Source organism: Homo sapiens, chromosome 4, assembly GCF_000001405.40.
Source record: "Homo sapiens chromosome 4, GRCh38.p14 Primary Assembly".
In the NCBI taxonomy this organism is placed as follows: Eukaryota; Metazoa; Chordata; class Mammalia; order Primates; family Hominidae; genus Homo; species Homo sapiens.
In genome coordinates, this window is record NC_000004.12 from 100,185,870 (window position 1) to 100,201,842 (window position 15,973).

A 15,973-nucleotide genomic window follows, 5' to 3' on the forward strand; every position below is an offset into this window, starting at 1 on the left:
TTAAAAATATATAATGTTTTATTGTCAAAAATAGACAAACTTTAATTTCCTTTAACAGGAATATTAATTTAACAGCCTTCCATAAGCCATCACCATTTTGTAAGCATAACAGGCAAGAGAGTCAAAGATAACTGTTAGTGGGAAAAGGACAACAGTTCTACATCCATGCCCAAGAAGCCTTGCCCAGTCAGTGGTGACAACTCCAGGACAGCGGCAGAAACACAGTGAACCTTTGGAGCTTAACAATAGCCATGCAAAACAACATAGATTTATCTTGGCCCAATTCTATAAAGATTGGCTTTGTAGTATCTTTCCAAGCATTTGAAGAGTTTAGTTTGTTAGAACACTGGCTAATTTGAACAGTGACATTTTAGGTCACTTATAGTATCAGTAACAGGATCACACCTGTTTTTCAGTAACACCAGGATGAATACATCTGTCCCTACGCCGGTCTCCAGCATGTGAAGTGGAGCTAATAGCTAGGGCAGGAAACCTGAATAAGCTCCTTATCCACGACCCACAGCAAGGATATGAAAGCCTTGCTGAATTGAACATTGTTGAGTGGAGGCTAAATTCTCTCATTAACATAAAAAAGGAAAGAGATAATGATCTACTTAGTTGGAATAAGACAAAAAATCAGGCCTTTATTATTCCCTAGTGACAGGTATCCAAGGTGGAAAAAATCTGGGTGCATGCATGGTTATCTGGACGGTGAGTTTCATTCTCTAGGCTGTACTATAAACCATATCTCCATAGCCAATGCAGACTTCGTAAATTGACCCGTTTCAATAATTCAAAGTGGTAGTATACAGCTACTACCCTTGACAATTGGGGTTAAGGAGAGATACTTCAATTCCCAGAAAAGCCCAGAGATGAGATAACACTGCCATGGTGAAATGGTTCATCTGAGATTAAGCACATGTAATACTGAAAAGAGGATAGATTACTAAGTGAATCAGAGAGGGACTAGATCTCAGAACTAATTTCCTATCCTCACAGGTATTCATCATTCACTCAATGGAAGAGTAATCAACTACACACAAAAATATCAGTTCAATATTTTGCATTTTTCTAGTTTAAAGACAGTATTCAACACTTAAGAACAGGGGAAACTGAGCTTATAAAGGCATCTAAAACAACACCGTGGTTACTGAAATGGCACCACAAGCTTTTGTTGCCTCTTTAAAACATTAGAGTGAGGAAGTCACCAAGAAACAGTGAAGCAGTTCCATTATTGCCGTAATATTTCTCATTTACTCTTACCTAGGGTTAAGCTTTAATTAAACTCACCTACTTAATCCTACCCTCCTGTCTAAAAACCCTTCAAATTTGAGTCAGGAACTGGTGGTGTGGGCTTTTGGAAGTTTTGATAGGCTAAATATCATTTAGTATGATTCTGTGATTTAAAAAATCCTCTGAAAACTTACAGAAAAAAAAGCCATATGAAAATCAAAATAGGCAAATCTGGTTTATATAGTCTATTACCAAGCCTACCTGAAACCAAATTGTGGAATCAAATGTAAAACTCAAATGGGCTTCTACTTTTGCTTACCTATTCCATCCCATTCAATTCTGTACAAAAATGGGATCTATGCAGAAAATCTACACTATTTTGAATCACTTCTCCAAAGGCCAGAAAATCAGCCTGTTAGCTGCAGTTGCTATGAATGTGAAACACAGAAAGAAAAGAGACTACATTTGGGGTTTCTTATTTAGGGCAGGTGGGGCAAACTACAAATGACTTTAGCTGACTAGCTGAATAGTTTTACTACCCAATCATGAAATAATCTTTATATATTTTCCCTTTTTAGGACCCTTCAATCACTGTTGTTCCAATCAGTGAGTAAAGTTTTTTCTTAACAAGTCGAAATCCTGAGCTGAGGATCAGAGTTCTCCTGAAACCAGAGGAGAAGCGACCTCTACTAAAGAAAAAGTCCCTGAAGCTAGTCCATGAGCAGTTCTCCTGCTTAAACACAAGTGTAAGCTCAAAAGTAGGTACGACGCTAGAATCACACACAATCCTATCCAGCTTTTTACATACATTTTCAATTTCCAAGTTCACGTGCATAACACAACCTCGCAAGCCGCAGGGCTCCGTTGAGGAAAGCCGCAGGACATCTTGAGCAATTCTCTGGGTCAGTTTCTCAGGGACAAGGACCTTTGAGCAACCAAGTTTAGTTTGCTTTGATTTGGACAGACAGTTCTCCAGCATTTTAACCAAATTCTGGCAAGTTGATTCCTCAAATATTACCTCGTTGAGGTTGGGTTCAGGAACAACATAATCCCAGTAGTCAAAATCTGTAAGAAATGGAGTTTTCTTTTTAGATACAGAAGAAAAAATTTAAGAGTAGAAAAAAAACACCAAGATATCAACATTGGTTACCTCTATCTACCATGTCTGCCTTTTTCTTGTATTTGTTTCAGAGTCAGCTGACCTCAATTAACTGTTAACTAGCTAGGTAATATAGCGAATAATTTAAGCTCTCATGAATGAAAGTTCATGTATGAAATAAAGGTTTAGATAAATAGAGTAGATAGGATGTAACCACTTTTCTTTAAATTTATGTGTGTACACAAAACACACACACAACCGTGAAGACTATGCATCAAAAATCTACTTGTGATTATCCCAGATTATTGGTGATTTTCTTTTCTTTTCTCCTACTTGCTTATGGGGGTTTTCTAATTTTGTTTTACAGAAAACATGCATTACTTCTGGAATAAAAAGTTATAACTTTGTTTTTTGGACTAAGGGGTTGTTACTTTCTAACTGTAGGAATACATGTATTGTAAAATAAAGAATTTTTACTATTATGTTTGAAGAGTTGTATTAAAGCTTTAAGAGTTATATTAAAGATCTATCAAATTTGTGTCTTTAAGTCTTTACTGGAGTGGCCTGTAGGTCCCAATTTTAGCTTTAGCCTCTTTAATTAAAAATTGTGCAGAGAAGACCTTTGAGGTTCATGAGGATATTTGTAACCGGCTGGGTGGTTTTTCTTAGCCAAGCAAAACAAAATAGTCCTAGGGAAATAAAATTAGCTGGGCTCAAAGGAAAAGAGATAGCTCTGCATTTGGTCACCTACACCTCAAATTAATCCTACCCCTTGGCAGGATGCCACACCACACGGAGTCAAATGAACAAGGTGCAGGCAGATGCCCTCCCAGCTCCTCTCTCTAAGCCTACTCCACCTTCATCAGCCACTGGCTTTTCCTCTCCACTTCGTGTAAGTTTGGAGTTCTGGCCTGTAAATTAGGTCATCAACCACTTCACCTTGAAAGGAGAAAAACACGAAGAGCTTAAGCAGTTTATCTATGCTCTTACAGCTCTTTAGTGTCAGAGCAGTGTGTTCACCTAGAAACTGCTGTTAAAATTCCAAATGACAGCAAGTCAAGCACCGCTGCTGTTCAACAGTTTCCTTCTCACATTAAAAATGGAATAATGGATATATCCACGACTGAAAATCCTACTCAGTAATAAACAATAAACACGAACACACTGATTTAAGCAACGGACATAAAAGAATCTCAAAAACATTAGGCTGCGGGAAAGAAACCAGACACAAAAGAATACCTACTGTATGGTTCCACTTACCTAAAGGCAAAACTAACTTGGAATGATAAAAATCAGATCAGTAGTTCCCTGGAGTCAGGGGAGAGTGAGGAATACCTGGCAAATAGGTGCGTCGGAATTCAGGGGGAGGGGCGATATTGATTACAGGGTAAATACATTTGCTAAAACACACATAACTGTGTTCTTCACAATCATGTAAGATAAGGAACTTAATCCCAAGGGGCCTACTGGCACCAGACTAGAAAGATGCAGCCCTCGGGTATTCTACTTTTGCTACTTTTGTTTCTATCATGGAGAGAAGATGTTAGAAAATTTGGAAAGGAGTCTCCTCAGATGGATTTTGTGGCACCTCCTACATAGAGGTAGGGGAGGAAGTCGAAAGCCCGCCCACCCAATAGATCCAGAGGCACCGACCTTGGGAGGGGAGAAGGGTGGACAGCGGGGACACTCACCACTTAGCAGGCTCTCTGGGTGATAGCCACAGTCCAGCAATTCTGAAATGCTGGCCGGGTTCTTGCTGCTCAAACTGCCAGTTGCAACCATGGTCAACGGCTCTGTTTCCTTCGCGAGGCGCAACGGCCTTTCCTGAGCGCTGGAAAAAATGAGGCGAGAAGAGACGGATTTGCAAAAGCAGGCGAGTCGTGCAGAGGCTCCTAAAATGCCCGGCGTCCCGGGAGCGAACTAGCGGAGGAACTCCTTTGCCAAAGGGGTGGAACCGGCCTCTGCAACTCAATTTGACAAAGCCCTGGGAGCGGAGCCGCAACCTGAAACTAACTCAACAGTTCGCAAAACTTGGAAGCGACCTGCCCCGCGGAGCGCCCCCCGGCCCCGCTGCCCCCACCAAGGCCGCAGCTTCGCTCACCTGCCAGGAGTTCGCGGGGGCCTGCGCGCTCGCTGCCGGGTAAACACAGGCAGGTGGCTTCTTAGGAGTCCCCTCTCCTGGGGACTCGGTGACCTGCAGACCCCAGCAGCCAGCGGCACCCTGCTCACCCCTCCCGGGCCACCCTGCGCCGGCTCCTCGCAGTAGCATAGCCTCCGGGGCAGCGAGAACTTTATAGGTCCAGTCCCCACCCTGCTCAGGCCCGCCCACCTGCACCGCCCCTCCCCGGCCAGCGCCCCGCCCCTCCCCTCCAGAGTCTGGTCCCCTTTCAACCTCTACACTTCCAGGGAGCCCGAGCCTAGCCACAGGGAGTTGAGGATAAGCCTGTGGTAGAGCGGACACCTGTTGCTTCCAGGGTAGATCTCGGGCCACTGGGACCGCAATTCCGGGTGCACGACTCGTCAAAGCCTGAACCTGATTGTTCAGTGCGACCCCTCCCCGAGCGTCCGCGCTTTCACACTCAGGCTGCTCCCGGCAGCGGGAAGCTTTAAGCGATCTGTGCATTTCCTTGTCCTGGGGCTTTGCTGTGTCATCCTGAACACTTGGCTTAAATCTGTTGCAACGTCCACTGAGCATCATTTATGCACTTATTTCTGGCCTCTAACCCAGTCAACTCTACTCTGCCTCCCAGGGTTTCTGTATCCTCCTCTGCTGCAAGCGGTCAGATCTAGTTTTCCTTTCCCGCATCGAAGGCTCGCCAGCATTTTAAGAAGGGCCTTAATGACCCCACGCACTCCGTGGCTCCCTGGCATTCTTCGTGCACTTACATCTGTGGCTAATGCGTTTTCTTCGCAGGAAGGGTGAGCCTGGCACTCTTCTAATTAGACCTTGCCCCAGAGCGCGGGGAGCTTGAATTGAGCGGGAGTTTGCCAAGAAACACACAATACCATTAGTAGGATCTTAGGTACTCCTCTATCCGTGCATCGAGAGCAACTGTCATTTCCGGAGGCAGAAGTTTCTGGCGAGCCCTGTTGGGAGGATCTTTGGTTTGGGATATTTTGAAGAGGTTTCAGAGACTGAAGATAAAGAGTTTTATATTCTGCTGGGGATCAGCAGATAATCCCTGTGAGGGCTCCGTGCGGTCCTGCACAGGAACACACAGAGAGGCAGAGGAGCCCTGGAAAGAGGCAACATGCCCGCATAGCCCATGAGCAAGAAGCCAAACCTGATTTTTTTCTTCCAAAGTTATTAAGCCACGGTTTTCTCGCTTTGGTGTGCCAGTAGGAGATGATCTGTTCAGAGAGTCAGCTTGGGGTGCGTTAGGGGATGCCTGGAGGGAGAAGGTTGTTCCTACAGTAGAGATCCCAGTGTTGGCTCCCAGGCCCTCTAGGATTATGTGTAGAAGGATTTGCAGGTTAGAACCTTGAAAGGCAGTTTCAGCTGTCCTGGCATAAAACTCTTAGAAAAACAACAACAGAAGGGGTATAGAGGGTGTGATAAACAGATCAGTGGGAGGACATTCGGACGCAGAGCAGCAGAAATTAAAGCCAGCTTGACAGTCCATTTTTAACTCAGTTCAGGCAGCTGCACTGCCTGAAGGTCAGGCGAGCCAAGGAAGGAGATGCTGATAGACTGGTCTTTGAAGGCCAGTTTCCACTTCTACTTCAATAAACAGAAAAGTGGAAAATAAACAAGCCCATTTAAGCCAATTAAAAAGCGGTTTCAGTGGCTAGGGTGTTCAGGACCAATGGATGGGCCCATGGTCAGGAGTTGGATGCCAGCCGCCTGACAGTCAGTCCCTGGGCAGGCCACAGAGCCTCTTGTCCTTGTCTGGGCAGCATTACTAATGAGGCTGCCACTTAACCTGCCTCCAAGGAGGATTTTTAGAATTAATATAATGAGTGGTCTGAACCAATACTAGCGAAATAAAGAAATTACTCGTTTCAATTTCCTTAGGGTATTTAGGCATAATTCATAGAGTAAATGCCCCCATAGGGCCAGAAAGATTATTGGAACTTACAGAAAGTAGTAGTTGCTCTTGGCCCACCTGACTAAATGAAATTTTGCAAAGCCCTTTGGGATTTGACTTCAGAAAACAATTTACTTATGTACAAAAGACTTCAAATAATATCTTCTTGGCTGAATGGGCCTTGCTCTCAGGACATACAGGGCATAAGGAATGATTGAGGTAAAACACATACCTGGAATAATTAAGAATGTCCTTTTTTATCTACTTAAAAGCGTAGAAAATCCATTCTATCACCAGTTTGCATCTTCACAAGGTTAAACAGAACTGATTTTTTAAAAATTTGAAGCATAGAGAAGAATTAGGAAAAACTAAGTGCCATTATAGGCTAAGTGCAAGGTGACACAGTCTATCAGATTTCAGAAAAATGTGGATACAGTCAATTATTTATAACTGAAAGTTCGCATTGGGGAACTTCAGGTGTTTATTAAGTGCAGTGATAAAGAAGTTTGTTTTATTGCTCTTTCATTATATCCTCTAACTAATACTATATAAACAGTTTGTGGGAGTGCTTACTGGAAATAGTTGTGTATGAATAGAAAATCTAGTCAGTTAAATAATTTGATTTCCTTTCATACACCAATGTATTATAAGAAACTATCTAAATCATAGGCAAAGGCTTTAACTTAAGCATGCTTGCTTTTTTATTACTATAATTCACTAATCCATCTTCTTACAGAAAGAAAATGAGATAGCAGTAACAACTGGCAACCATATGTTCATCTGATGTATTTGCAAATATTTAAGTTCTAGGCTTCCTCAGGTATAAATATAGTATTCATAATGTCATTGCTTATGTAAAGTATAAATTCACAATGCCAGGGATACTGAAAAAACAAAAAGCAAAAATGATGCTTTCATGTATTATTACAGGAAATGTTGGTGTCTTTTGCATTTGTGATTTGGAGTGTTGAATGTTCATTACGTGTTTCACTAGCCAATTTTCTGTCTTTATTTGGTATGAACACTTATTTTTGAATCTTATTAATACATTTACGTTCCACACATAGCTTATTTTATTTCATAAACTATGACACCTGAGGGAAAGTTACTGAGTTTCTTAATCTGTGCAATTCAGGGAAAACTTACAGGACATGGAAATTGATCTATACATTAGCAGTAAGCTCATGGGGTTATTGTAAGGATTAAAAGAGAAACCCTTAAAATCAATGCTAAATATTATCTCTTTTTTATAAACAAATATGAGATCTTTAAATGCACACTGCCTCTAGATTCCCTTAGTTGTGCTAAGTTTGTAAATTTGGTGTCTCATGCAAAGTGCTTAGAACCAAACTAATACTGATATTAGGCAAGAACTTAATGAGTGATATTATTATTATTGCTGTTATTATGTTCTGAAATTGTAGTTATCTGGGTCAGTGCAACAAGCAAGTGGCTAAATGGAGTTGGGGAAGTGTTGTTAAAGTATAAGAAAATTTATGATCTTTCCTGTTTGCAGGAAATCTGGAAAGTATTGGCACTGATTAGGAAAGCCTTTTTTATTATAATACATCCATCACTGTATGGGAAAGCAGGAAAGGATCTGCCAATGAAACGTAAGAAAATAATGTGGGTAAAAAATTATCTTGGTGTAAAATACAGAGTTTTATATGTTAACTTTCCTCTATTAATCTAGGAAATAGTTTTCTGGAAATAAATAACATCTACAGACAATTGAAACTATTGACTATAGAATGACGCAGTTGTTTCAAGGTATGTGTGATCATCTGTTAACATACTCGGTGAGATATTTAATCATAATTTTTATTTGCCTTTGAGGGTGCATCACCCAATACAATTTCCATTTAATTATTAAATATTCAATATGACTTATTCTGTTAAGTAAGGTAACATGGAAACTTATCTCGTATAAGACAAAAAGCAGGCCCAATACATAAAATAATACATAATGCTTGCTATTAAAAGCTGAGAGAATCTTCCAATAACACAAGGGTTTGCCTCTCTTTTTAAGCAGAGAAATGGTTACCATAGCAACTTGTCTCTTAATATAGTTATATGATTTTGTTCTCTTCATAAACAATGCTGTGTATTATCAGTCTTTAAATAGAGATAATATGTTTAAATGCATACAATATCTGCTTTTCCTTAATTATGGAAAAATGTATAATTCAGGTGACCATATCAGAGGATGTCAGCCAGGAACATGGAGTGGGTCCTTGACATTTGTCTAGCGATACATCTTAAAACTTTTACAAGTTCCAAATTTGAGAATACCACTATGCCATACCATTTTTTCTGGAATTTTAATGTGCACCAGGAGATGAGGAAAATAAAGCTACATGCTCATGTCAATGTTGGGTTCCTTACTGGTTTCCCTTCCTGTATCAACCAAGTGTCCTATTTTGGTGGGCCAGCCTTGCACAGCTTTTGTCATTGACATTTGTATCCTAGCAAAATTACACATTACTTCATGACATAAACCTGTGGGGTTGCTTAAGAAGAGAATTAAATCTGAGAATGCCTGAGTGTCGACTAGATATGGAATTCTGCAGGGTACTTTTTAGAATGGGATCTGATCTCCATTCTGCAGATTTAAAGCACATTAAGGTTAAGAAATTTGACTAGTCCAGAATGATTCAGTTTTTTCATCTTCATGGTGTAGTAGTTAGTGCATGAACTGTGCAGCCTAACTCCTAGCAGTGACATTTACTAGCTGTGTAACTTGGATTAGGTACTTAACATTTCTGTGCCTCTATTTTCACCTTTAAAATGGGAATTACGGAGAAGGAAGTGAGAGGGAGAGATGTGTTAAAGCAGCAGTCCCCAACCTTTTTGGCACCAGGGACTTGTTTGTGGAAGAGAATTTTTCCTCAGTTGAGGATGCAGATGTTTTGGGGATGAAACTGTTCCACTTCAGATCAACAGGCATTAGTTACATTCTCATGAGGAATGGGTAACCTAGATCCCTCACAGGCAGTTCACAAAGGGTTCATGCTCCTATGAGAATCTAATGTTGCAGCTGAGGCAGAACTCAGGTGGGAATGCAGGCAATGGGTAGCAGCTGTAAATACAGATGAAGCTTTGTTCCTTGCCCACCCACTGCTCCCTTCCTGCTTTGCACCCAGTTTCTAACAGGCCATGGACTGGTACTGGTCTGTCCGGAATTGGTGGGTTCTTGGTCTCCCTGACTTCAAGAATGAAGCCGCGGACCCTCGCAGTGAGTGTTACAGCTCTTAAGGTGGTGTGTCTGGAGTTTGTTCCTTCTGATGTTCGGATGTCGGAGTTTCTTCCTTCTGGTGGGTTCGTGGTCTCGCTGGCTCAGGAATGAAGCAGCAGACCTTCGAAGTGAGTGTTACAGCTCTTAAGGTGGCGTGTCTGGAGTTTGTTCCTTCTGATGTTCGGATGTCGGAGTTTCTTCCTTCTGGTGGGTTCGTGGTCTCGCTGGCTCAGGAATGAAGCCGCAGACCTTCGAAGTGAGTGTTACAGCTCTTAAGGTGGCGTGTCTGGTGTTTGTTCCTTCTGATGTTCGGATATGTTCGGAGTTTCTTCCTTCTGGTGTGTTCGTGGTCTCGCTGGCTCAGGAATGAAGCCGCGGACCTTTGCGGTGAATGTTACAGCTCTTAAGGCGGCGCGCCTGGAGTTGTTAATTCCTCCCGGTGGGCTCCTGGTCTTGCTGGCTTCAGGAGTGAAGCTGCAGACTTTCGCGGTGAGTGTTACAGCTCATAAAAGCAGTGGACCCAAAGAGTGAGCAGCAGCAAGAGTTATTGCAAAGAGTAAAAGAACAACGCTTCCACAGTGTGGAAGGTGACCCGAGCGGGTTACCACTGCTGGCTGGGGCAGCCTGCTTTTATTCTCTTATCTGGCCCCACCCACATCCTGCTGATTGGTAGAGTCTAGTGGTCTGTTTTGACAGGGTGCTGATTGGTGCGTTTACAATCCCTGAGCTAGACACAAAGGTTCTCCACCTCCCCACCAGATTAGCTAGACACAGAGTGTCCACACAAAGGTTCTCCAAGGCCCCACCAGAATAGCTAGATACAGAGTGTCAATTGGTGTATTCACAAACCCTGAGCTAGACACAGGGTGCTGATTGGTGTATTTACAAACCTTGAGCTAGATACAGAGTGCCCATTGGTGTATTTACAATCCCTGAGCTAGACATAAAGGTTCTCCATGTCCCCATCAGATTCAGGAGGCCAGCTGGCTTCACCCAGTGGATCCCGAACCAGGGCTGCAGGTGGAGCTGCCTGCCAGTCCCGCACCGTGCGCCCACACTCCTCAGCCCTTGGGTGGTCGATAGGACTGGGCGCCGTGGAGCAGGGGGCGGCGCTCATCGGCGAGGCTCGGGCTGCACAGGAGCCCATGGAGGGGGTGGGAGGCAGAGGCATGGCCGGCTGCAGGTCCTGAGCCCTGCTCCGCGGGAAGGCAGCTAAGGCCTGGTGAGAAATCGAGTGCAGTGCCGGTGGGCTGGCACTGCTGGGGGACCCAGTACACCCTCTGCAGCCGCTGGCCCGGGTGCTAAGCCCCTCATTGCCCGGAGCCGGCAGGGCCGGCCGGCTGCTCCTAGTGCCGGGCCGGCCAAGCCCACGCCCACCCGGAACTCCAGCTGGCCCCCAAGCGCAGTGCGCAGTCCCGGTTCCCGCTCGCGCCTCTCCCTCCACACCTCCCTGCAAGCTGAGGGAGCTGGCTCGGGCCTTGGCCAGCCCAGAAAAGGGCTCCCACAGTGCAGCGGTGGGCTGAAGGGCTCCTCAAGTGCCGCCAAAGTGGGAGCCCAGGCAGAGGAGGCGCTGAGAGCGAGCGAGGGCTGTGAGGACTGCCAGCACGCTGTCACCTCTCACTGGTCCGTGGCCTGACGGTTGGAGACCCCTGTGTTAAAGGATACAAAATTATAGCTAGGTAAGAGGAATCAGTTCTAGTGTTTCTTCCACTGTAGGGTGACTATAGTTAACAATAATACGGTGTTTTAAATAGCTAGAAGGAGGATATTGAATGTTCCCAACACAGAGAAATAATGAATATTTTCCCAACACAGAGAAATGATGAATATGATTAGTGGGATATGGTAATTACCCCAATTTGATCACTATACATTTTATGTGTTGCAACATTACTGTGTACCGCATGAAAATGTATAATTATTATTTGTCAACTAAAAAAATTTTAAAAACTACACTAAATAAATAAAATGAGAATTATAATAATTTTACCTTACAGGGCTGTTGTGGGGATTCAATGAGTGAATGCATAATGTACTCAATAAAAGTTAGCCATGATCAGAATGATGATTTTACTCTGACCTTGAAAAATTCTCAAAGTCATGGTGACATTTTTAATGAACAGGTAGCTAGAGGAGTATTTACATATGATCAAGAGTGTGTATAAAAGTATGTCTTGTACATAATCATTCATTTGGTCAACTGACATTCAGTAACTATTTGTTGTGTATTAATTATGTTAGGCCCTGAGAACACAACAGGAAACCAGATACGTTTGGTGCCCATCACCAGACAGATTATAGTTTAGAAAGCTATATAGGCAAATAAATACAAGATTATAAATAGTGTGATAAAGTTAGGGGAGGTACAGGGTGCTCCAGGAGCACAATGATATAAACACTAATGTGTTTTGAAATAAGATTTATAACCTTGCTGCTCATCATGTGTATCACGGACCAAAAGCATAGGCATCTCTTGGGAGAGTGTAAGAAATGCAAAATCTCAGGCCTCACCCTACACTACTGGAAACAGAATCTGCTTTTTAGTAAGATTTTTAGGTGATGCATATTGTATGCAATTAAAACAGATTTTAGTTAAAGACAATGAACAAAACCGTAAGACAATCTAAGCACTTGCAAAGCTATTTCTTGGCCAATTAAGAAAAAATATTTCTTGAGTACCTACTATGTGCAAGGCCTTGATGCAAGGTGGATAGAATCTCAGCTGGTAAGTGTTTGTTGATTCTCCATAGCTTAAGTCAGATATAATGGCTGTAATGAAAATAATCCATCCTGTGTGGTTTTTAGCTCCTGGGCCTGGCTCACAGACCACACACAGCTATGTGAAAACAGTCTGGTTTTCAGAGAAGACTGTATTATGTAAAAATTAAGTCCTGTTTTAATAAAGTTGAGACATTATCAAACCCTGAATTATATTCAACCTTGATGGAATGGAAGCCTATAATATAACACAAGGAAGGGGCTTATATAATAAAATGTATTTAAAGTAATTGGTCTATGGAAAGTTGCATTTGGAAACCACAAATTTAGAAGGAAGAGAGTAACACAGAAAGATATATCTTATTACTTCCAAATTTACTACAGAGGATAAATAAAGTTATGTATGTATTCATTTCTTCTGCTGTAATTGTATCATAAAATATGTTTTAAAACACTGACTTAGTTTTTGAAATATTGTGCTGGTAATTGGGAACTATTTTTGTAGATGTTATCTATTGTGGTAGAAGAGCTAAATTGTAAATTGCTGAAGAAGCCTTTCAGGGGATGTCAATATTAGCTATAAGCGTGCTGAAGTACATTCAGTTTTGTGACATTATTGATGCATCATATCTAAATTGAGCAATAAATGGTACTTAATTTATAGCATCACATAATTACCTTTGCAGGTAGCTTGTGAGGCTTATAAAACAGGCCTCACCTCTGAATATGTAACAGAGTAGTATACCTTAATGGTTTGACTTTGGGCTCTAACTCAAACTTGCCTTCAAATTCTGGTTTTGTCATGAGTGGGCACATTGTGAAATCAACTGAAATCCTTTGAATTTCAGCCTCCTCATCTGTAATATGGAAGATTCAATGATACAATACATGTTAAGTTTCTAGCAATGCAACTGGTATATATTAAGAGCTAAGTCAAAGGTGGTCATCCTAGACACTCATGGCTATATAAGTTTGTTTCTGTAAATGCACAAAATTCAACTGTATTAAATAATTCATCAAATGGTGTGATAGACTTCTCCAATGGTTGTAGATTTTAGTGTGCACATGATGTATAATAAAGAGTGCACATGCTGGAGAATCAGGAGACCTGTCCCCAAATACAGCTTTTATATTAACTTGGTCTCTGACTTTGGACAGGATGTGTCAACAGAATTTCCTGGATGTAGTAAGAAACTAAAAAGAGATTCACCCAGGCTGGAGGAGAGATTTATCTATGGATTTCAAAGCAGTAGAGACCAGGGCCTTACTTTATGGCTATGTCTAGGAGGACTGGACAGAGTTCCTATTTGGAGAAGATTCCTGTTTTTCCCCAAGAGCCATATGGAGCAGAAGAAAATAGCCAGATCAGATGGGATGCTGAGGGCACAGGTGATGAACATCTTAGCTGTAACCTTTGCGTGATCAATGACTGGAGAGTACAGTCTCCATCCCTGCCCCTCTCCTGAAACCTCAACATTGCACAGGATTTGAAACCCTTGACATGTGTATTGGATCTGTGGGATAGGAGGATAAGGATGGTAAGGGCAAAGAATGAGTGACATTAAAGTATCTATTCCTCAGCTGAATGAAGGGTAAATATCAGAAATTAAGTTAAATAGCAAACATGAAGCAGTAATGTTGCTTTATTGCCAATTCAGTCTGGGGACTAAGATTGATACTCTATCTATCTACCAGCATAGCTGTAGTTGTACTTCTGAAAAATATATTTTAACATTTTTCTTTCTATTCAATTTAAGGCAGCATTCTTGGAAGCCCTGCTTTTAGTGTCTACAGTCAACACGAGTTCCATACACAGCACATTTTTAGTTTATCCATTATTGAAAGATTGCTGCCTACAATGAAACCTATATGTATATGGTTTTCATGTGTTCTGTTTTTAAATAGTTAATATGAAAACTCCATAAATCAGGAATATTTTTGTATTTTCTAAATCAGGGAACCGTTTTCAATTTTGAAATTTACAAATTGGCTATTAGTTTAGAAATTTGAAGTAAATCCTTTACTAACTTTATTATTTTATTTCATTTTTTAGTTTTCTGGACTTGCTTCTGTAACACTTTCTCTGGATTGTTTAAGAGGAAGATAAAAGCATAAGAATTATTATTTTAAAAGTAATTTTTATTGTTACACTTGTTAGATTCCACCTGCATAATTGCCTACAAGAGTTATGTCTTTATAATGTCTATCTATAAACAGTTCTCTGATTTAGAAATGAAATTAAATTTTTAGAGGAGAGATTTCTGCATTAAAGGATAAATATGCTAAATATAGTTTTGATAGATCTTGATAAATTATCCTTCATAGGAATTGTACAGTTTTGGGCACCCACCAATAAAGTATGAGAACTTTTGTTTCTTTATTCTCTTCAACATTCATTCATTCATCTGCTATACCTTTTTATACAGTTTAAATATGTTCTAGAAACCTGTTGGTTAGGAGTTGTAATTTCTCTCATACTAGCTAGAAGAGATATTATCATAATTTTTAAAAGGGGAAACTATAAATGTAAATCATTAATCATAACTTTCAGGCAAAATTAGAAATGTATCATTTTCTTCCTGAGTTCTACTTTTGGGGAAAGCCTTAAGACTGTATCTACAAAGGCCATTATAAATTCACCGGTTGGTCAGCTCAGGCACCAAAAATATTGTTTTTTTTCAACCACACTACACTAAGTCATCAATCAGCTGTTTTGTTGTTATGCGGGGACATTGGTGTTCATTTAAGTCAGTCTTTTTGCTGTCTGTTGAGGAAAGAATTTTTGTCAAAAAGAGAAAATATTCTTTAATATAAAACTTACAAGTTGCCAGTAATTCAATTTCAATTTCAGATAGTTAAATAATATTTCCTTCTTTTTAACCTCAGTAGAATTATGACTTTGTTATAGCCCACAGTAGAATATTGAGTTAGGTGCAATTCCGTTCATCAAATGTTTGTGGATGTTACTATAGAGTGTAGGGCAGGGAGAGCAGAAGTTCAAACGCAGCTTTGGAAAACGTTCTAGGTCAGCTCCATCCAATCCGACAGGTACAGATACATTTGTGATTGAGCACTTTAAAATGTGACCAGTCCAAAGTGAGATGTAGAAAATACACACCAGATTTTTGAAGATTTAGTCAAACATGAAGAATGTAAAATATCACATTAATAATTTTTATATTGGTTACATGTTGAAATAAGATTTTTTATATGTTGGGTTAAATAAAATATATCGATAAAATTAATTTCACCTGATTCAGTGACTCAAAAACGTGGCTATTAGAATATTCAAAATTTAATATGAGGCTCACACTAAGAAATACAGGACAAGGGCTGGGCACAGTGGCTCACGCCTGTGATCCAAGCACTTTGGGAGGCTGAGGCGGGTGGATCACTTGAGGTCAGGAGTTCGAGACCAGCTTGGCCAACATGGTCAATCCCTGTCTCTACTAAAAATACAAAAAAATTAGCCAGACGTGGTGGCATGTGCCTCTAATCCTAGCTACTCGGGAGGCTGAGGCACAAGAATCACTTGAACCTGGGAGGCAGAGGTTGCAGTGAGCTGAGATTGTGCCACTGCATTCCAGCCTGGTCAACAGAGTGAAAATCTGTCTTAAAAAGAAAAAAGAGAGAAAGAAAGAAATGCAGGACAACACTATT

The 15,973-nt window shown here is 41.1% G+C and overlaps 1 protein-coding gene and 1 long non-coding RNA gene across 2 annotated transcripts in view; one reads left to right on the forward strand and one right to left on the reverse strand.

Annotated features, from left to right (window-relative positions):
- Positions 1-4,599, reverse strand: DDIT4L (DNA damage inducible transcript 4 like). Its single transcript, NM_145244.4, has 3 exons — positions 4,434-4,599; positions 4,024-4,163; positions 1-2,298 (listed from the first exon to the last, which is right to left on the reverse strand). The coding sequence occupies exons 2-3, from the start codon at positions 4,112-4,114 to the stop codon at positions 1,808-1,810; spliced, it is 582 nt and encodes a 193-aa protein (NP_660287.1). The 5' UTR covers positions 4,115-4,163; positions 4,434-4,599; the 3' UTR covers positions 1-1,807.
- The window catches only part of DDIT4L-AS1 (DDIT4L antisense RNA 1), a 25,473-nt gene continuing 13,663 nt past the window's right edge, over positions 4,164-15,973 (forward strand). Inside the window, exons 1-4 of the long non-coding RNA NR_125924.1 lie at positions 4,164-4,205; positions 7,097-7,180; positions 7,877-7,973; positions 8,054-8,130. This is a non-coding gene — a long non-coding RNA (DDIT4L antisense RNA 1). The remainder of the gene's footprint in view (positions 4,206-7,096; positions 7,181-7,876; positions 7,974-8,053; positions 8,131-15,973) is intronic.

Coding starts and splice junctions, on each gene's coding strand:
- DDIT4L (NM_145244.4), bottom strand. CDS start 4,114: ATGGTTGCAACTGGCAGTTTGAGCAGCAAGAACCCGGCCAGCATTTCA. Junction 2,299..4,023: donor CCCAGAGAGCCTGCTAAGTG/GTGAGTGTCCCC, acceptor CATTTCTTACAG/ATTTTGACTACTGGGATTAT.